This window comes from Homo sapiens, chromosome 5 (assembly GCF_000001405.40).
Source record: "Homo sapiens chromosome 5, GRCh38.p14 Primary Assembly".
NCBI classification, from domain to species: domain Eukaryota; kingdom Metazoa; phylum Chordata; class Mammalia; order Primates; family Hominidae; genus Homo; species Homo sapiens.
In genome coordinates, this window is record NC_000005.10 from 9429668 (window position 1) to 9452268 (window position 22601).

Below are 22601 nucleotides of genomic sequence, written 5' to 3' on the forward strand. Positions count from 1 at the left end.
CTTCAGGGATCTTCAGGTAAAGAGTGCTGCAGGCACAGAAAGGAGTCAGAATGAAAAGACTGAGCAAGGAAAGTGGCTACTCTGTTCCAGGGAGACCAAGGAGGCCAGTGAAACTGAAGCTGGTGCTTGGGAGAGAAAGATAGATAGAGAAGAGAGAGGATGAGGACAAAGAAGGGACACGTGGTGCCTGGCGCACCAAGGGAGGAAGCTGGCTTTCCATCAGAATAAGGCAGCAGCTGCTGGAGGATTCTCAGCAGAGAGCCTGTCTGGTCACTGTGTGGAGAAAAGACCACGGAGGCCCAAGAGCAGAAGCAGCGAGACGGCCGGAAGACCTGAGAACTCACGGGGACCAAGTTGCTGGGAGCTTAGCTGAGGCAGGGAGCAGTGAAGGTGCTGAGAAGTGGTAAGATATTGGATATATGTTGAACAAAAAAACGAACAACAATAAGATTTGTTGACAGCTGGGATGTGGGGTGACAGAGAAAGAGAATAATCAAGTATTGTTCCAACTGTTTCAGCCTGAGCAAGTGGAAGACTGGACTTCCCATTAATAAAATGAGGAACTCTACAGAAGGACATGGCTAGGGGTTGTGGGGAGAAAAGAGTTCAGTTTGGACATGGTTAATTTGAAGACATAAATTAGACATCCAGTTGTGAGGTTAAATAGGCAGTTGAATATATAAACAATTCTGGAGCTTAGGGATAGGTTTTGGCTGAAGATAGACATGTGGGAGTAATTAGTGTGCAAATGATACTAAAGCCATGAGACTGGAAGAGATTTCTAAATGGTGAGAATGGTGGGAAAAGAGACAAGGTCCAGACACTGAACCTTATGGGACTCCAGTGCTTGGATGGCAGGGAGATGACCATTTGAGGCTAAGATGCAAAGCCCAGAGATATGAGGTCAGGCCAGAGAAATGGAGCATCCTAAAGCCAAGTAGAGAAAGTATGTCAAGGAGGTGGGAGGGGTCGATGGTATAAAAGCTGCTAACTGTTAAGTATGATGATGACTGAGCCTCGACTGCTGGATTTAGCAACATGGCGGTGTTGGGTGATCTTGACTAGGCAGTGCTGAAGGAATGACTAAGGGATCAGACTGGGCTCAAAATAAAATAAAAAGGCAGAAATGGAGGACAACAAGTACAGGCAAATACTTTAAACCAAGTTTTTTTTGTTTTTTGTTTTTTTTTTAGCAAAGAGGAGATAAATGTATTATAACTAAAGAGGAAATTAGAGGCCACAGGTCAAATTTTCTTAGGATGATAGATGTTTCCATTCCTATTGGAAAAAAAAATAAACAGCATAGAGGGAAAAATAAAAGCTGATTATGTAGGAAAGAAAGGAAATAACTGCTTAAGTACTGTAGGAGCAAAGGAATGGGATACAGTTTGGCCAAACTAGGGTTAAGAGTTTCCATCAGAATTAATCAGTGTCCACTAGCTGGAATATTGTGATTGGCCCACTTGGGTAGGTACCTCACCTTTAAAACATCACTGTAGTAAGGAGGTGGCCTGCAATGAAGAAAAGAGGAACAGTTCTCAAAAAGTATGTGGCCCCTGAGCTGTGATAAGGGTACCCCAATTTATATGTACTAAAAAAAATCTGAGCTACAGTAAACAACTTAGATCAACCCACTTAATTCCTCAGCACTGGAAATGTAAGTGCACTATTCTTAGATACTGTTACATGAAAATGTGGTGATATTTACTTCCCAGAATCTCCCAACCAACTTCCCAACCTTTGCTTTTTCTGCTTTGGTTTAACCAATAGTGGTTACTGCTCAGGCTTTAAACAAAAACAAATGAAGCAAAATGACTCTGATTTCTTTGTGGCCTCGGAGGCTCAAAAAGACACAAACACACATGAAACCCCCACTAGCTTTCCTAGATAAAGCATGAACTGATTAGGTTTGCAGCCCTGCAGCTATAGAGGCCTCTCCAATACTCTGATCTGGAAACCACAGGGCAGGAAAATCCCCAAAGTCCCATGAAATCCAAAGATCCAAACGTGGGGTCGTTTTTATGCCCTCAGGAAAGTTCTGCCAAAAAAAGAGATCTTACACACAGTGTAATTGAGAGGGCAGTATCCTTACGTGCACATGTAAATCCAAATCCAAGCAATTAACCCCACACACATCTGCCCCTCTAATGGGTGTCTGAGAATAAACAGCACACGTCAATCCCTCCCAGCCTCACTCAATCACGAAACTAAGAAAAGAAAATGAATTCTGAACTTCACCACACAGCTGTGATTCACAAATATTTATAGTAGCCATAAAGCTGGTGACCTTCAGGAAGATAACACACTTGGCAGACATTCACCTAAACAAAAGAGGGGAAAAGGCCCAAATCTCAAACAGCAGAGAACAGAGAGAGAGGCAAGATTTCCCAAGTTCCATAATGGGGAATTCCAATGCATTCTGATGGAGATAATGGAAGCTGACAATTCTCCTGTCAGTGAGCTTTGGTAAGCGGAGTGAAATGCTTGTGACAAAACAGATCAGCTCTGCACGGGCCTTTCTGGATGGCCTCACAGAGATTTTCCATCAGGCTGAGTACACAATCGGATGGGACTCAGGAGTGGTGTCTACAGCCCTGTATTTCTGACATTATTAGGAATGACAGGCTAAACCTTTATCCCAAATTACAACCACTCAGCATGTTTAAGCAAGTGTGTACCTTGTATCAACAATATACATAGAGATGCCCTGAAAATATCACAAAATAAAATTCCTTTCAGGAACGTGGCACCGAAAGAAACACCGTCAGCAACTCAGCAAGCACTTTTTTTTTCATATTTGGTCTCTTTGTCTAGTTTAAACCCCTCATTACCTATTATCACACCCAAACCTATGTCTTCTCACTTTCCTTATTTTATAGCCAAGAAATCTAACAAAATCAAGACAAGTAAAGACTGAGAGCTGACTCTTGGTCCGATCTGTCCACGGTCAGGTGGTTATGAATCTCAAAAAGCGAGATCTAGATTCAATCTTTTGGAACTCCTGCCCTTAACATTATTGTACGCACATCACAACAAATTACTATTTTACATCAGTGCTCGAGACTGCACAAACGAGGACATCTTATTTGTGATTTGACCAGCCTTAACTTGGTCTTTGATACCCACCATGTAACATTTAATGCAAACACCTTAAGTTAGCTACAAGAATGAGCCAAGAAGCAAAGCACTGTGATCAGGATTTAATCATGGTTAATATAATGGGTTAAGTTCTATAAAATTTTTTAAAAATGAAATATAGTTGTTAAAATATAGTCATAGGTTATATAAAATCTTAAAATAGAAAGTTCCCTTCTCCCTAACGAAGAATGAATAAAAGAATGAGAAAATTTAAGTTGTCTGGTTCTAAACTAGGTCTCTATTTGTAGAAAGGAGAAGTGTGTTTCTGGGATTTTCTCCCACTTGTACAAATATTGTTATTGTCCGAACATCCACAATAAATTAAAATTGGGGATTGATTTTTTTCAGTGAGGACAAAGAAAGGCAGAATAAAACATTGAGAAGGTTTTAAAAAGCAAAACTATATTTTAAATATCTGTTCCTGAATTAAACAGTTAAATATTTTTAATACAATCAGAAGAAAGTAAAGAATTTTTGTTCATTTTTTTACTATTCCCATTTTATAGATGAAAATGTTTTGTTTTATTCCTAAGCACTGATTAAAATCATTATCAAGAAAAAATCTGACATCACTAAAATAAACTTATTTAAATTTAAAAGGATAAAGCAAACAAGCAAATGAAATAGCGGAAAAAACAGTGACAATAATGAGTTAATATTCTTAATAATTAAGCCTTAAAATCTGTAAGAAAAATGTTGAGTCTCTATAGCTAAACAGTTATAAAATCTGGACAAATAATTCTCACACACGCTTGTTTGTCTCTGTCTCTCTCTTTCTCTCCCACCCTTCCCTCCCTCCTTCCCTTCCTCCTTTCTCTCTTTCTCTCACCTCTTCTCAGAGTAATGGCTAATTATTGCTTGAAAAAAAATTAGCAAAGAAACACAATGAGTAAAAAATAAAATATATAAAAAAAGAATATTATCAAATTGACTAAAACAATTAATAATACTACTCAAAGTTTTTGAGTAATGATATTCAAATTTGTTTTAGCAAAATAAATTCTCCAGCATATAAATGAAGTATAAATATCTACAATACTTTTACAAAGCCAACTGGCAGATTTTTAAGACTCCCTGGGTTTTATGTAGTAAATCAACCATAGCTCTTCTGAGCTAATGAATTAACCCTCAATTAAAAGAAAGTATTACAATAACAATTGCTATTGTTTTTGAAGCATGTACTTCATGCACCAAATACAGTGACCTGCTCAAAATGAGAAAGCAGGATTGGAACTCAGGTGTATGAAGTCTCCCATCACCCTTTTCATGTTCATTTCAGCATGGTCTATGACTTTTGTGAACTGGAAGCAACATATGTTCCACAAAAGAAGCAGGAAATGACATTACAGTGCCTTTACACGATAGAGTATTACATATACATTAAAACAAGGGTTTTTTCTTCAATTTGCAATAATATGAGAAAGTATGTATAAGTGAAAAAGCAGTATGCAGAATTTTATGTCTAGTATTATCTCAACTCTTTAAACTGCTTATCAAAAATATTCCATAAAAGACTACATTAAATGTCGTCTGTGATTGTCTTCAATAGAGGCATTATAGTTGAATTTTCCTCTTCTTTTATATATTTTCAGTAATGAGCATTCACTACATTAATGCACTTTAAAAATTTTTTTAATTGTAAAAATAATAATACTCCTGAAAATCTTACTGACCACATGGATGATAAAGTGCAAACACCTGTACTCCAGAGATAATCTCTGTTTAGAGTATGGTATATATTAATATATATTCTAGGAGACTTTATAATACACATGAACTTGTGCATAGAGATTGTGTGTGTGAGTCTGTGTTTATTTTTAAGAGGAATGGGATTATATTAAATATATTATTCTGCAATTTGCTTTCTCAGTTAATAAGGAATCAAGGATAGTTTTCCATTACTTTTATGGTCAGAATTTCATTTTTTATATCATTGCTATTAAGGTGAAGCACACTTTGCCATGGCACATGGAATAAGTACCTAGGGGCCAGTGCTCCTTGACAAAGGCATGTCTCCAAAACTTCTGCTATATTATCAGGCTCTTGAGTTTGCTGCAATTATAGATTTCTAAGAATGAACGAATGAATGAGTACAATAGTTCCTTGCTTAAATTGCTTAAAGAAACACAAATTAATTGGTCTTTCAATTTTCTTTGCCCATCTTTGTAAATGATATAGTAGAGAGTCAAATATGCCTTTAAGTATCAGAAGTATCCGTTTGTAATAAAAAAGAAAAATTTAAAAAATCATACCACAATTTATTTATGTGGCAAAGGGTATTGCCATGTTATTTCATCATTTAACTATGTCAATCCTGTTCAAACTCCATCTTTGCTCATAATAAAAGAGGGATATTCGAGACCAGACCAGAACATTCTTGTTCAACAAAATTATCAGAAGGCCCAAGATAATTGCATGTTTACCCTAATATATATAAAAGGCAGTATGTATAAGGGTGCAAACTAACAGTGTCACATTCAGAAACTATATAAAAACCAAAGTAGGAAATACCATCTAAACTTATTTCATAAATGAGTTATATATACCAGCTTAACAAAATGTCAAGAAAATAATATTTACCAGGCCCTAATTTGAGCAAAGCTGTAATTTAGGTGGGACTTAGACTAACACATTTGGGGCATATAAACCATGTCAAGCAATAGAACATCAAATGTCCTTATTCTAAGGGGTAAGGTTTGCAGTTACAATAGACTTCAATAAAATTTGTTTATAATTAAAATCCAAGCATCCAAGATAAATTGCACTGTGGGACTAATACCTACTGTCCCCGAAACACTCTCATTCACTATACTATGAGGTCTTCGGCAGTGCAAGGATCGTGTCAATCATAGCTCAGAAAGCTGCTTAGCCTGGAGGCCAAATCCAGCCCACCACCTGTCTTTGTAATAAAGTTTTATTGTAACACAGCCATGCCCATTCACTTACATACCTATGACTGCTTTCATACTACAACGGCAGAGTGATGCAGCAGAGACTCTATGGCCTGTAAGCGCCAAAATGTTTTCTCACACTTTTTAGAAAACGTTCGCCAATTCTTGATTTAGATTACTGTTTGAAAAACTGATTTCTTAATATTTGTTCTGAGTTTCTCTCTACAGGTCTGAGTAACTCCAGTAAGGAATAAAAACTAAAATATGACTGTTCTTATTCTAGGGAGGCATGGTTAGTGCTAAAAGGCAGTTTTCTGTAAAGGTTAAGAAGATAGAATCAAATCCCAGCTCTGCCTCTGACTCACTGCAATTCTCTTGCAGATTATTTAAGCTCTCTGTGCCTCAATTTCCTCATCTTTAAAACAGTGACCCAAGAATACGAACCTGAAAGGGTTGTTATGAGAATTTTAAACATCTCACTCAGCACAGGGCCTGACACACAATGAGGACTTACATTAGCTAATAACTCTTCCTATCATATATCATGATAACCGCTGACCATCCAAAGCAAGCCAACACAGGCTCCATGTGGTCATTCTTCCAGCTCTCAGGTGCTGTGGTTCTCCATGGGGGAGGGAACGGGAGGTTCCGGTTAAGACACTATGTGAACCTGAATCTACGTGGGCTGGAGAAAGATACAAAATGCAGACCTCCGTTTCTTCTTCTGCAAAACGTAAGGACGACACAGGAGAACCTCTCGTCTCAGCTGAGCACATCTACACATCTATACAGAGGGCCCAGCTCTAAGACCCATTTAGCCTCCTTCCTCATAGACGAAGCCAGGGACTGGTAACTCATAATCCAAGAGCAGGAATGGTCACCAATTATTCAGAAAATCTCTGGATTATCTAAAATCAGCAAAGTGTTTTGTGAATGGGGAAAAAATATAAGCCTGTCCACAATGAGACGGTAATTTAGTTAGGGAGAAAAATAAATAAGTTAATAAACAATGGTAGTGTCTTTGCAGTGACTAGTATATGGAATGAAATTGTCACTTTCTCTCACTTTACTTGTTCCTCCCCTACACAACTAGTCCTCTATCCCCCTTCACCCCTTCCTCTCTTCTAGCCTTCCCAGAAGGTAGCAACACCTAGGTCTAAAGTGCTTCAGAAAGGCTCCTGTGAAGCCAGCATTTCTGAGCCAGCCTTTGGAAGATCCAAACAAGCACGATTCGTGGTGGGAACAGATCATTGTGAAGTGGGGGGTCAGTCCCTACACTGTCCCAGGGCCACAGGAAGGAGGAAATTGTGTGGAGGCCTGACCAGGAGGATCCCTGAGAGTATCATGAGAGGTTTAGGGCTTACCCAGCAGGTACAGGGGACTGCAGAAGGTCCCAGGACAGGAAGTGAGATGACAGTGGTATGCACTGCAAATAAGTGGGGGCAGCGCACAGAGGTAACTGCAGGAGACAAAACTGAAACCAGGTAGGCAGTCACACTGGGGCGCAGAAGATGCTAAGAAGCATCTAAGCCTTTTCACGTCTTCGGGTTCCTGAGTGATGTAGCGGTGGTATATGCCCACAATTGTTTTACTTGAAAGATTTCTCTATCTGAAAGCTTGCTCATTAACTCTCATTTTTTTTTCTTTTCTTCTTTTCTTCTTTTCTTCTTTTTTCTCTGAGATGAAGTCTTGCTCTGTTGCCCAGGCTGGAGTGCAGTGGTGCAATCTCAGCTCACTGCAAACTCTGCCTCCTGGGTTCAAGTGATCCTCATGCCTCAGCCTCCCAAGTAGCTGGGATTATAGGCACGCGCCACCACGCCAGGCTAATTTTTGTATTTTTAGTAGAGATAGAATTTCACCATGTTGGCCAGGCTGGAACTCCTGACCTCAGGTGATCAGCCTGCCTCAGCCTCCCAAAATGCTGGGATTACAGGTGTGAGCCACCAAGCCCAGCCTACTCTTATTTTTAATAACAGAAGTAAAGCTCACAAGCTGTCAAAAATATTTCAATCTGTAATTTTTTTAGTTTCTTCACTTCCCATTTAGATGTCTCACTTACCAAGGAGAGAGAGGATGGAGGACGCGTTTCCTCAATCATGAATCACACTGACTCCACAGCCACGTGGGCACTCCAGCCCAAGTCTCACACACCAACACTTCAAAAAAGAAAATAGAGAGATCCTGTCAACCCATTTTAAAAGAGGATGTGGTCATTGGTCATGAGTTCTATGAAGTTCCATTAAAGTCCTAAACAATCAGAGCAAGCTGCTTTGGCCACGTAGGATTAAAGCAGTGACGCAGGCCAGCTTGGCATCACAATCATGCTACCCTAGTTCAGGATCATGTGCACTAATGGATTCTTTTTCTTCAGAAAAGGAGAAATAAAACATTTAAATGCTGTTAACAGATGAAATAACTCTCATAAAACATCCAGAAGAACCATTATTTCAAAATTATCTTAACCAGTCTGAAATTATCTAAAGCAGTCTGAAAATTAAATTAAGATTCATTATATGAATTTATCCTTTTCATGACTCATTCCACTTTTTGGAACACATGGTACCTTATACAATTCAAGAACAGGAGACAAAGGCAGTAGCACAAACTCTGCTAGAAATTTGAGTTTGTATTTTTATTTACATACTGATTTATTAGGTGCACAATTATGAGGCTTTATAGGAAAAGGAATGATGCATCGTGAAAAACAAGCCACTTTACCAAAACCAAGTAAACCTGTCCAATCTCGTCATTCAATTTCATATACAAAAATTCTGAAACCTTGATGTTGTCATTGGATGGAAAGATGACCACGAAACGCCAGCCTCCCTAGAAACATGTATGCCAGAGGCTGAAAATATAGGTGACTTTCCATCTATGATCCATATGAGAAATGTGTTCATCACCAGTGAAGGATGCCTGTGACTTCAAATACTGCATTTCAGGGCTCATGCTTTTTTCTGTTCTCTTCATTCATCTGGTTTTTCTCTACACTTCCCAGGTGGCAGCTTCTGGCTGCTATAAATGTGAAACACCCTGACATTCTTCCTCGCCACCCTGAAGAAGGGAAAATGGGAGAAAGAACTTCCCAGAACATTCTGGCTGTCCCTCTAGGCAGTGATTCCCACACGGTCAGCTTCAGTCATGATCCGAGGCCATCTGCCTGCAGAAAATGAACTGAACGACAGCAGCTGGAAATTTATAAAATGTTATACCTGCTGAAGTGCCATTTTGGAAGCCCTAGGGTTCAGAGGCCAGGGAACAGGTCAAGGTGGCACTGCCTCTCTATGAGTCTCCCTTCCTCCAGGACGGGCCTTTGGTATGTTCATGGGAAGCAAGGGGGTGACCCAGGGCAACACACTGGGACATGCCTGCCTGAGACGCCCCAGCAGCCCAGGCACCCTCATATCGTGCAGCACGGCCAATCCTCCAGTCCCAGCAGAGTCCTCAAAAGTCCGTGACATCATCCTTTGGACAGGAGAAGGTGCAGATGCAAATCCTTGAAGCCAAAAGAGGAGCCAGGGAAGCACACTCAGTCTCAGAAATATTCCTCAGAGTGGCCAATTTCTTTTACACAACATCACTAATATCACCTTTGGGCGTGGCAACAAAATATGTTAGTTGAAACTCCTTTATTAAATGGCATGTTTGAATACACAAGCATCCTCTCTCCAGTCCTAAAATCTATTTTACAACAATTATTACTAAAATGTCCTTGTAGTTGTTTAGATCTGAGTTGAAATGTAAGTAATAAAGTTTGACAGATCCTCTGGTTACCGCCATGAATAGCTGGCAATTTCTGTAAGTTCCCATGTCTCAGAACTACATTAAAAACAGGGCTAATAGGTCTCCTGCCTCCCCCAGTGAGGTCACAAATGAGCTGATGTGAACCCTCAGCTGGACAGCAAAACCACACCTGCAGAATATGGGTCAGTCTCTTAAATGAAAGAGACTGGGGCCAAAAAGATCATTGCAAGAATTCACAATCAGTAACACAACCAGAGAGCAAATACTGCAGGAAGAAGACATCCCTGCCGAATCCAGCATGGACAGCCCACAGCCTGGACCGCCAGACAGTCCTGGTGCAACCAACAGACTCCAAAACCCAGCCCCTTCCTTGTGGAAAAGCAATACCCACAGGACAGAGCTCTCTTGGCTTGGGGGAAAACACAGCTTCCTACAGAGTTTGATGTCTAAACAGGAAATCAGTCTCAGCAGCAGGATTCAAGGGTGTCCACCCGAAAGGGTTGTTACTGTGCCTGTGTTTACATAAATAGTGAAAAAGATATTTTAACAGCCTGGGGGCTTGTCAGCCAAGTGAGCCATGTTGGGACTTTCTGCTCCTGAGGGTCAGCCCTTGCCTGGGGAAGACAGGGTGCTCACCAACACACCCATGTGTGCCTGGGAACGTGCACTCAGGAACAGAAATGATAGTGACAAAGCAGAGGCCTTGAGTTGGAGCCAAGCTAGAGGAACAGACAATGATTCTTGCAGGTCCAGAAGCAGAGCCCCCGTGTCCTCTCCCAGCAAGGTCATAAATTAGCCAATGCATTAATCATAAATCACTGACATATTTTCTAGAAAACTGAGAAGAAAGCTGAAAGGCAAAGAAACTACAAAGCCCCAGAGGCTCACTCCAGACTGGAAGTTGGAAAATTTTTAAGCGACAGTTAACTACCCATTTAATAAGAAACTGCTTATTTTTTATAAACATATAAATTTCTCTATTTGACTCAATTCCATATTATCCTTATTCTTTTCTCTTTTAGCTTAGCTTTAACCTTGGTGCCAACAACCTCTGAAATCCTCTGAGTCATAATTTTCAGAGTTCTGCCTCTTAAAAAATGCCACCATGAACATATATGTGCAGAACTATCTTGACGACACTTTTGATTTACAAACAGTAACTCTTTCCCAGAAGTTTTGCCCTGTGGCCACCTACACTCTTCAAATTGTCTCTAGATGGAACTACATGAAGAAGATTGAATACCAATTATAACTTACTAAGTGCTCATCAGCACATGACTTTCTGCTAAAATATGCAACCTTCTCCCTGCCCAACTTACTCAGAATGAGGTAAGATGTAGACTTAAGCATTATTTTGGAGACCAAAGTTGAGCTGAGTGGTAGCCTTTATCCTGCAGATACATGGCAGAAATTAACATGCCAGGCCAGTCTTATGAGCTGAATTTAGAAACCGTACAACAGTAAGATTACACTGGAAATAAAAATGGACAAGACCACCTGGCATCAGAAAGTTTAGTGGAGTGATGAAAAGAAACCGTAAAAGATACAGGTTCAAGAAACCTAAGAACTGCTGGGCCAGCATTTCCCAAAGGCAAGACTTAGACCAGTGCCATGGCATTTAATTGACAGGCCTCTCATCATCAGTCCCTCCGTTAATCACCATGCACAGCACAGCCCCATGGCCACACATGGTGGATGCTTAGAAGACAAAACAAGAACCTATTACACTCTCAGGAGCTGTCTATATGATTTTTCTGCTATGTAGTTCAGTATATACTATGAATTGGAGGAAAGAGAAGTTACTTATGGGCAGAAGAGTCAAGGAAAAGATTTCTGAAAATGGGAAATGTGATGTGGGCTCTAAGGGATGAGGAGGAGATAAGGAGGATATTAAAAGACACAGTGAAGTATGTTTTAGTGGGTGCATTGCAGGTGAAACAAACAGTAGATGAGGGAGGAACAGCTGAAAGTCATCAGGTATAAGAGAAGAGCCATTTACGCCAGCACCATGGTGAGTTAAAGCATGAGTTCCTGGTACCATCCCTGGAGTTGGGTGGAAACCCCACCACGGAGCCCACCAAGATAAGAGTTTGCAGGAGTGCAAACTGAATGAGATAGGTGAAAAAAAGCAATTCCACAAAGGTAAAAATCTGGACTGCAATGCCATAAGAATCACAGACAGAAATCTGGCCTCATGCTCAAGTCCCTGGAGGAAGACAAGGAAGTAAACAGGAGGGTGGATTCCAGGTGGCAGGCCAAGGAGCAGGGAGGGTGGCATCAGGAGTGTGTGGAGGCAGCCAGCATCGGCTAGCAGCAGCATGTGCCACGATGACTACCTGCAAGATCACTCACATGCAAGAGCATGGAGAGCTCAAAAGAGGCACTCCAGACAGCTAACAGATGGGAAAAGTAGATGACACACAGATTGTAGGGAATGTTAACATGAGAAAGAGATGAGACTTCATCCAAAGGAAGGCAGAGTCACTGAAGGTTCAGTGGGATGTCAGGATGAGCAAACTTTGGGAGGGTGAATATGGCAGCTCTGCAGAGGATGCACAAGACAAGAAGGGGAGAAGCTGGGGTAAAAAGCCGCCACCAGAGAACTCCAGGTATGAGGAGAATTGCAGTGAAGGATGAACATGGCCCTTGCCAAGCAAAGGACTTGCCTTTGCCAAGTTCCTGGGAAGTCACCTCTAAGACCTTAGAATGTCCTGCCTGATGAGAGACTTTGTTTTGGGGGGGCTTTAGGCCACACAGATAGTCTAGGCTAACCATGTGGTTAATGGCTGAGGGCTTGGGCCTCTCTGGATTAGTCTGGCCATGTCTATGTGGTCAATTCTCAATAAAAACTCAGGACACCAAGGCTCAGGTGAAGTCGCCTGGTTGGCAACACCCTATGCATGTTGTCATACATCCTTGTGGGGGAAGAAGCACTGTCCACGTGTCTCCACTGGAAAGAGACCATCAGAAGCTCGTGACTAGCCTCTCCTGGACTCCAGCTATGCACCTTTTCCACAGCTGGAGTGTAAAGGGTACTACTGTACCCTTTGACTGAGATCAACCATAATCACTAATACAACAGGTTTTACACATTCTTAGAGTTCTTCATGTAAATCATTGATCCTGAGGGTGCCCATGAGCCACATGGCAAACAGGGTCAGGGGGCCCCACATGACTAAGTGTGCAGCTTCAGCCCTAAACATCAACATTTAAAACCCAGGAGCAACAAATGGCCTATCGCATTGGAATTATTCACAAAGAAAATATATTCCACATTCCCAGAAATATATTAACTATCTAAAATAGATTTTAAAATATGCTAAATAAAAAGTCAAAACATCACAGTCCATTTTTGCAAAGAATCACTTATATAGAAACATCAGTCTAAAAACTCAGCATGTACTTACTGAGGAATGAATGTTCTTGAATTTAGGGCAATAAACTAAATGACGAAAATCAGAATTTTCTCAGTAGGAATGAAAATACAAAATGAGTAAAGGACACTATTTTTGGAATTGCCTTCATCCAATGCCAACTGGTTTGATTGACAGGAACTATGTGGAGGACCCAGCACTCAGATGTGGGCTGTGGGATAATGAAACGCCATTCACTCTGGTTATACGCACTGCAACCCTTTCTGTCACTGTCCGTAGCCTGGGTGTCCAGGCTTCCATTAGGTCACTTCTGACAGCCTCTGTCACTTGTTCCACAGGTGGTCTCCACAGGAATGTGCTTGGATAAATCGACAGTGGACATTTAGGATAATAATGTCCCTTGAAAGAATGGCAATCTCTGTGGCTGGGGGTCCTTGGAAACCCCAGCCACTCAAGAAAACAAAGAGTGGGTGACAGGAACAGAGAACAAGGCTTTGAGGCAAAAGTTATAGGGAAGAAAGCAGAGAGAGGGGAGAGGGGAGGAAGAGCAAAAGAAAAGGAAGAGGGGGAAGAAAAACACCCTAGAAGCAGCTACAGGGATAACAGGATGTCCTGAAATGGTGCAGCCAACTGAAAAATATGATATAATCTATCATTATAAAATGGACTTTTATTGTTTCCTTCAACTTTTGTTAAAATAAATTTTATGGAAAACTGAGGTTTACAACATGATGTAATGGGTGACATATAGATAGTAAAATGGTTACTCTAGTGAAGCAAATTAACGTATTTATCATCTCACATAGTTACATTTTTTGAGGTAAGAGCAGCTAAAATCTACTTATTTCACAAAAGTTCTAAATACCATATATGGTTCTCACGCCTGCATTAGTATCTTTGAAGGATACAAATAACAGCAATGTCAGCTTCAGGTACGAGGGAGGAGGGCCAGTTCCTGGCCATTCCCTTCCACTGGCAGAACGTCTGCTGCCAGCTACCACCACATTCCTGGGCAAATATTCCAGCATTCAAGGAAACAATTTGAAAAGGAAAAGCAAAATGCACAAAAGCTTGAGGTGATGAAGAAATTATAGGATGAAGGCAGCAGCCAGCCCCAACCACTCTTACCATGGTCCAGGGAGCAGCCGCATACCCCACCCCTTCTCTCCTCTACAGGCCAGCACTGGCTGGGGTCAGAGGCTGATCCATGGAGCAAGTCCATTGAGACTCCCAAATATGAGATTGCTGGCCACTTTACATTCAAGACAGGGTCAGGACTCAAATGAAAAATGATGTAATTTTTAAAGATAGATCTCTGGATTTGTTCAATATCACCACTTAAATTTTTTTTTAGTTTATTTTTTTTAATTTTTTTTTTATTTCCAAAGGTTATTGGGGAAAAGGTGGTGTTTGGTTACATGAGTAAGTGTAACCAAACTTTTGTGGTGACTTGTAAGATCTTGGTGCACCCATTACCTGAGCAGTATACACTGCAACCTATTTGTAGTCTTTTATCCCTCACCCGCTTTCCACCCTTTCCCCTGAGTCCCCAAAGGCCATTGTGTAATTCTTATGCCTTTTCATCCTCATAACTTAGCTCCCACTTATGAATAAGAATATACAATGTTTGGTTTTCCATTCCTGCATTACTCCACTTAGAATAATAGACTCTAATCTCATCCAGGTCGCTGTGAATGCCATTAATTCATTCCTTTTTATGGCTGAGTAGTATTCCATTGTATAGATATACCACAGTTTCTTTATTCACTTGTTCATTGGTGGGCATTTTGGTTGGTTCCACATTTTTGCAATTGCGAACTGTGATCCTATAAACATGCATGTGCAAGTATCTTTTTCATATAATGACTTATATTCCTTTGGGTAGATACCCAGTAGTTGCACCACCTAAATTTTGAACGGTATTTGACATTGTGATGTCTAAATGCTGAGAGCGGAGTTAGAAAGAGATGGGATATAGTGGGCCCATCTCTTAACGGTTTTTCTTTCTTAAGGATGTTCCTTTGCCTCTTGGTTTGCCCGCACCGGCCTGAATACAGAATCTGTGCAGGACCCCAGCCAAGCTGTGCACAGACAAACAGGTTCTGAATGAAGTGGTGTCTCTAGCAGGGACAGCACTGATGCAAACACCCATGGCTTACACATTAGAGACCTTACACAAAATGTGGGACAAAATAAATGCACAGAGAAAGAAAACACACACACATATTTACAATCAGATCGTTATAGATATCCAATAATATTGCATTCCAATAAGCAAATAAATGGCCTTACTTTCCACATCAGCTTGAACCTCCAATCAGAGAATTTTTCCTGCATCCCAGTTTAGCATGCTGGATGTTGTGCTGAATGACGTGCATAACACCACAATGACATGGGAGGTCTCTGCCCTCAAGGAATTCAGCCTTTGGAATCGCTTTTCCCCAAATCAGAAACAATCTCATTAGGAACCAGCTAATATTTGATCTAGAAATAATTCCACATATTTACCAAGAACATTTAATAAAGAATCCCTTCGGTAAATATCTCTCGTGCCATTAAAAAAAAAAAAAGTGGGCCGGGCACGGTGGCTCACGCCTGTAATCCCAGGACTTTGGGAGGCCGAGGTGGGCGGATCACGAGGTCAGGAGATTGAGACCATCCTGGCTAACACAGTGAAACCCTGTCTCTACTAAAAATACAAAAAATTAGCCGGGTGTGGTGGCGGGTGCCTGTAGTCCCAGCTACTCGGGAGGCTGAGGCAGGAGAATGGCGTCAACCCGGGAGACGGAGCTTGCAATGAGCCGAGATGGCACCACTGCACTCCAGTCTGAGTGACAGAGTGAGACTCTGTCTCAAAAAAAAAAGTGTCAGATGTGAGATTCCCCTTCACTGAGTCTCTGGCTCCCACAGGGCCAAAGTAAGAACACCTGGAGACCAGTCCCAGAGGTCAAGGCCTCATGGACAATAAGTCCCCATGTGATGACACATGACCTCACACCTGGGTCATTTAATCATGCAAATATCTGGCTCTATGACTGGCAGGGGCAAGTTCTACTTTCCTGTACAGAAGAGCAGGCACTTCTACAAGTTGTATCCAAAGAGTAAGATGGCATGAAAGAGAAATACTCTTCCCACTTGGAGCCTTCATGCCCAGATCCAGCCTGAGACCCCTCTCTCCATCAGACAGTAGTCACTGTGAATGGAATGATCTAGAAATATTAAACATAGCTCCGAGCTAAAGAAAAATAAACACAGTAACAGGGGATTTTGTTTCTCAAAGCATTGACTAATCCTAACAACAGTTTGGAAGGAAGAAATCCAATTGTTTTCCATTTTGTCTTCATGCAGATTATCCTTTGGTGAATATTTAAAGCTAGTAGAAATAGCTGGCACTCAGTATTGCCTCAGTAACGGAAATAAAGCTGGAGTAAACACTTCCTATTTCATTACTCTCACATGAGACAATGATGTGTTCTGAACTGCAAAGAGGCATGGGGCTGAGGGAAAGAAAGAGAGGGGGCAAAAATGACTTCTTTATTAAAGCAAACAGGTTGCCAAAAACTAAGCAAGTGCTCAAAATGAGCAATTTCTGTTATGCGCTCTCTAAGGACACCAGGGCCTCAGAATAGTGAATACTTTCTTATTTTGGCCACCATGTGCCAGATTTTCAAAAGGCCACCTCACTTTTCATGCAGGCAATTTTGAAGAGCTTGCACAACCAGTTAATTTGCAAGGACAGCCGGCCTCTGGGCTTCCACTCTGACAGCTAAATTGATCAATCCTTTGTAGAGGAAAATCTCAGTCCCTAGAAAAAAAGGGTGTCTGAGACCCTTTGAAAAATGTGGTCTCTCAATTCCTACTTATTCAGAACTACACAGCCAACAAGACTTATTCTGTAAGCAGTAGTTTGCCTACACAAAGGAGACTCAAGATTTAACTCTAGATCTAAATTTAAGATTTAATTTTAATATTAAGATTTAACTCTTTAAAAAATTATTTGACTACTCTTGTTACTTAACTATCTCTGTTAAAACATAAAAAAAGGGCTGGGTTCTTATATCCGCCCTCTGGTCATTACATAGAAGAGCGAAATGCCGGCCACAGATTAAACCACATCTGACACCAAACCTTTCTCAGAGAAAAAGCTGAGCTGAGGCAGACAAGTCTGTTAAGAAATATGAAAACAGAGAGGGGCTCATTTATCCCATAAAAGTTGGCTAACTGTGAAATTCACAATGAATTATTAGTGAAATGGCAATTGGTTAAATTGTTCAGAAAAATATTTTCCTAAAAACAGAACAGGCAGTAGATTTTTAGAATTTTCTAGCTACACACTCAGAAAAGAGAAATGAAAGGATGTGCTCCTTCAACTCAGTAATGGAAAGAAGATTAGTATAAACCCGTGCAAGCCAATCCAATGTGCATATTGGGCTCTCTGTGACTTCACTTATTTTAGATACCTAAGCCCTAGTGTCACTGTTTTACATGGTATACAATGATCTGGGCCAAGCCAATTGCGTTTTGCCTTGGAAGACAAACTCTGATGTTCTATTCTGGCTTAAACCTAGTGAATGTTCTGGAGTCATTTTAGAATGTTCGCTTCTTTGAACACATGAAAAAGAAGACTTTTAAATCCTCCTGAATCAGTCCCAATGACCTGTCAGGTCTTTCATCGTCCAAGATGGGCACCAAGGCCTAAAGAAGAAAATAGCATCTCATTTTCGCATTACGGCATGCAGGCAACTTGCTCAGGAATGTGAATTCCACCTAAACGTTTGTTTCATGTTTTATAGAGGACTTAACACTATATGAATCCCTGAGTGTGTCGCACAACCAAAAATCTAATTCTGTTCTATTTGTCATCCCCTCAATATAAATTAGTGATTAAAAATGAGAAATAAGCTACAACACAACAAACCAGATGGTGTCTTACCTTCCTATAAACACTGTTGTGTTTAGAGAGTTTACACATGTGGGGGAATGTAATGACTTATTTTTTTCACATTTGGCAATGAGTCATGTCATCCATTTTAGCACAAACTGTCCTGAAACTTCCTCCCAAATGAAGACATGGAACAGTTTCACTAATATGTAAAAGCACCCATGCCAGCTGCCTTTGATTAGTCATGATGCCTCTCTGCCCACTCTACAGCCCTCATCTAGGAGACAACCTGATCCAGTCGGACACCCAAACAGAACCAAAAGGTCGGCATGTCCTGAAGTCAACCTGCTGGGGAAGCAGATGCACTTTTGGAGGGGCCAAGATGCTTCTTCCCTTTGCTTCCCAACACATACCCTTAAAAATTCAACCCAGGAACTTGATTTAACAGTGTCCTCCTCTTTACTTTTGACACTCTCCCCAACCTTTCTGAGCTATCCTATGGACCTAACATATAGAAGAGAAACCATGAATAATCTCAGGAAAGTTCTAAGTTCACCAATTATTAAAGGAGCCAGAGTCTATCCCAACTGCCAACATTCAATGGATGTCCACTCTGTGGAACTAAATGGGAAGGAAACAAGACCAGCCTGAAATGCAAACCATGTTTGACAAAACTGTGTTTCATTATTTTACACTGACAGTGCTTAGGGCTATGCCTGACACATGGTAAACCCCTAGCAGGGAGTTAGCCCCGCCCCTTCTGCCTACCCCAACAGTGGAATTGGGTTTATGTTTCCCCTTCATCATCTGTCAAGACAACTCCTCCCCTCCCTTTGTGGAATTAACAGTATTAAACTGACTGCTGGTGTTAGTCTGCTTTTTGGTTTTGGTTTGCTAAGCCATTGAGATAGTAACACCTCTCCTCGTGGTACCTGTGAAGTTTATTTATGAAACTAAATCCAGATCTCTGTAATTCTTGCTCTTTAGATTTTATCTTATTGGCTTGACTTCATCACTGAAGCCATTCATCCTAACATCCCTGCCTGCTGGCTCTCTGAAATCCAGGTGGCCCTGACATCCCCGTGTGATGTTGTTGCCTCTCCTCTGTGACCGTGACATGTGATGCTGGCTTTTCTGTTTCTCCCATCACCCTCCATTGTTTACTTCTCTGTCTCCTGGTCAAGGGCAGGCATCTGTCTTAGTCAGCTGACTTCACATTCCCAAGGCCAGGCCTAAGTAAATGAGCATATTCAAGAACAACAGTTTGGTTGGTGGGAACGTAAATTAATTCAACCATTTGGAAGACAGGTGGCGATTCCTCAAAGACCTAGAGGCAGAAATACCATTTGACCCAGAAATTTCATTACTGAGTATATACCCAAAGGAATATAAATCATTCTGTTATAAAGATACATGTACCCGTATGTTCACTGCAGTACTACTCACAATAGCAAAGACATGGAATAAACATAAATGCCCATCAGTGATAGACTAGATAAAGAAAATGTGGTACATGCACATCATGGAATACTATGCAGCCATTAAAAGGGACGAGATCATGTCCTCTGCAGGGACATGGATGAGGTTGGAAGCCATTATCCTCAGCGAACTAATGCAGAAACAGAAAACCAAACACCACATGTTCTCACTTACAAGTGGTAGCTGAACAATGAGAATGCATGGATATATGGGGGGGAACAACATACCTTGGGACCTGTTGGGAGCATGGGGGAGGGAGAGCATCAGGAAGCATAGCTAATGGATGCTGGGCTTAATACCTAGGCGATGAGATGACCTGTGCAACAAACCACCATGACACATGTTTACCTCTTTAATAAACCTGCACATCCTGCACATGTACCCTGGAACTTAAAATAAAAGTTGAAGGAAAAAAAAAAAGAACAACAGTTTGATGAACATTTCTCATTTTTATCTCAGAATGTGTGTAAATATTAACAGGGGCATATCCCTAAAGTTAGCTTTAACATCAGTCAAAATCACCCAAAAATGCAGGGGAAATTAACCCGGGTGGTACCTGGAGATGACCTAAGCCTCACCCAGATCTAGAAGATACCACACACACAGAAGGTGCCTGGGTAACGTTTGGCAGATAGCAGCATGCAGGAACCCCTTTCTTACAAGTTGCTAGAGAAAACTGCAGCTTCCTCCTCCAGAGGCTCTAGGCCTACCTTGATCCCATCTTTCCTCACAATAAAATTCTCTTTTCAATCCTCCTTAGGAGGTTTTCTAGTCTCAGAAGAAGCCTTCAATGCTGTTCATAGGAGATTAGGTCCCCCTGTTTTAGATAACAATGGCTGTCCATCCTGTTCATGCTCATAAAAGCTCAACTTTGCACAGACTTCCCTGTGCAAACATACCGATGTCTCCCCTCTTCCTGTCCATTAAGCTGAGTCCCCTATACCAGGATCCTTCTACAGACCCCCTTGGGGCGGCTGTCTCCACTGCCCTTGAGAACCACTCTCAGCCTCAGAGACATTTCCAGAGGAGAAGGGCTGCTCATGAACACAGTCAAGTGGGGAGAACGAGGCCAACCCGGTGGCCAATAGGGACCAAGAAGGAAAATAGCTTCCCCTTAGAAATATAAACATTATCTTTGTAAATGTCATGCTTATATGGATAATCCACTTAGTAAGCTCACTTTTCATAGATATCAGGCCAGTTGCTAAGTATACATTGTTCCAGTATCTGAAATTAATGATATTCAGTTTAATAGGAGTGTTCCTCTATATAGCAATTCTGCAGTCATTGATTAAAACAGTCCTCACTTTTGCTGTCTGGACTCCCATTCTCCCTCCATAATCATAGGCTTCAGGCTCCTTCACCCATCCAATGACCTGAAAGCATCTCCCTTGCTGCTGCCTGTCACACCTACACCCCTCTCCACTCACCCAGCTGTCCCCTCTCCCCAGTCAGCCACAGAGAAAAGTTTGAAGGAGCTTTCTTCTCACTGCCCAGTTTTCTATTTTACAGAAGGCTTTAGAAAACACATATGTGCTCTGGCTAAAATAAAAGTGAAGTTATAATGTGATCTACCACATCAAAAAAAAAAAAAAGAAACGGAAAATAGTTTTAGTTAATTCAGCATCAGAAAATCAATATGTCCTTAGCAGCATTCTGTGCTTGACTTCAAAATGTGTGTTTTAATCTTGACTTTATTACATGTTGTACTTGGTTAGCTCACACTTAGAATTCTCATCAACTGCTTTTTAGGTCTGTGGATGGGAAGGTACTCCATAAGAGAAATCAGCCTAATAATTGAATACAGAGCTTTAAAAAGAAAGGCTTGTATAACTCTGAAGGGGACAAAACAATGACGCAGAAATAAAGTCAGACTACAGCAGTTCAAAGACCTGTCCTTGTTTGTGATTTTTTTTCTAATATACAGACTCAAGGGTTCAACTAAGAGGCTGTTGTCGGTTACGCTTCTCATCTATATCCTCTCTCAGATCAGCAGACATCTAGCCACTCTGCTGCATGCTAATATAAAATCTGTCTCTGTCTCCTCACACATCCCGTCAGAGAAACCATCTAATCATGAACCATCCTATCATTACAGCAGCCACTGTAAATGCTTGGGAAATTAAACAACAAACAAGACTCCTCATTCAAATGGAAAGCTGGCAGCATTGTTGGGGAGATGACAAAACCCATCATTAGACTGGGAACAAACTGCCTTGCCCTATGTGCCCTTTACTGCTTCTCTTTTTCAGGGTACGCTGGAAGAAGGGGCATAGCTATCCATTATTCACTGACAATCTCATAAGTCATGCCACTTTCCTAACTATTGTAAAAGAGCCATAGTCAGAAAAGTGGGGTGAAATGTTGGTGACAGCTGCTTATCTCAAAGGCTTCTAAGGTAAACCACCAAACCATAATTTGATGCAATAATATGGTGGTTATTGCTATTCCTTGACCAACTACTCCCAATCCCTTCAGGTTAGATTTCTCCTATTTTTACATTCTGGAGTACACAGAGTTCTTTCACCAGTAGCTAAGAAGATGCAAATTGATCACAACCTCCCTGAAATAAAATGAGGAGGGTAAGAAATGGCCCAGGTTTCTTGATTCTCTCTGCTGTGAACCTGGGGCCATGTCACCTTCCCCGTCTTCTTTCCTGCACGGCTGAGGATGGCAGACAGTAACTCTCCTTAGCAGACAAGGCAATCTACCCAGCATGGAGGAAACAACAAGTAAGGACTGAAGTTCTACCCGAGCCACCTGGTAGAAGAGGAGGAAAAAAAGATGAAGGAAATCTGAATAATTGAAAGGCGTTAGCCCTACACTTAATCTGCCTGATGTTACATAATAAACTCTGTCAGTAGAAACAGACTCTTCCTTTCACCCACTTCCTTCACCTTTTCCACCAGATTTCTTCCATTTGTCACCCCTACAGCTCAGAATTGGCCCTGCCCTGTCTCCTAATGCTGAGGACAGACCATTAAAGGAAGGAAGGTCAGAGAAATTACAATGACATGGCTTTGTTCCCCAAGAACATTCACTCTGGAAGCTGTCACTGCTCAAAAGACATCTTCATTCTAGCTCATATGGCCA

General features: G+C 41.2%; 1 protein-coding gene across 8 annotated transcripts in view; it reads right to left on the reverse strand.

Annotated features, from left to right (window-relative positions):
* The window catches only part of SEMA5A (semaphorin 5A), a 511043-nt gene that overhangs the window by 394635 nt on the left and 93807 nt on the right, over positions 1 to 22601 (reverse strand). For 7 of the 8 annotated variants that reach the window (NM_003966.3, XM_011514157.3, XM_006714506.4 and 4 more), the window contains exon 2: positions 8089 to 8185. The exons of the other annotated variant lie outside the window; for it this stretch is intronic. The gene's annotated coding sequence lies outside the window, so the exon portion shown is untranslated. The remainder of the gene's footprint in view (positions 1 to 8088; positions 8186 to 22601) is intronic. 8 annotated transcript variants of the gene reach the window in all.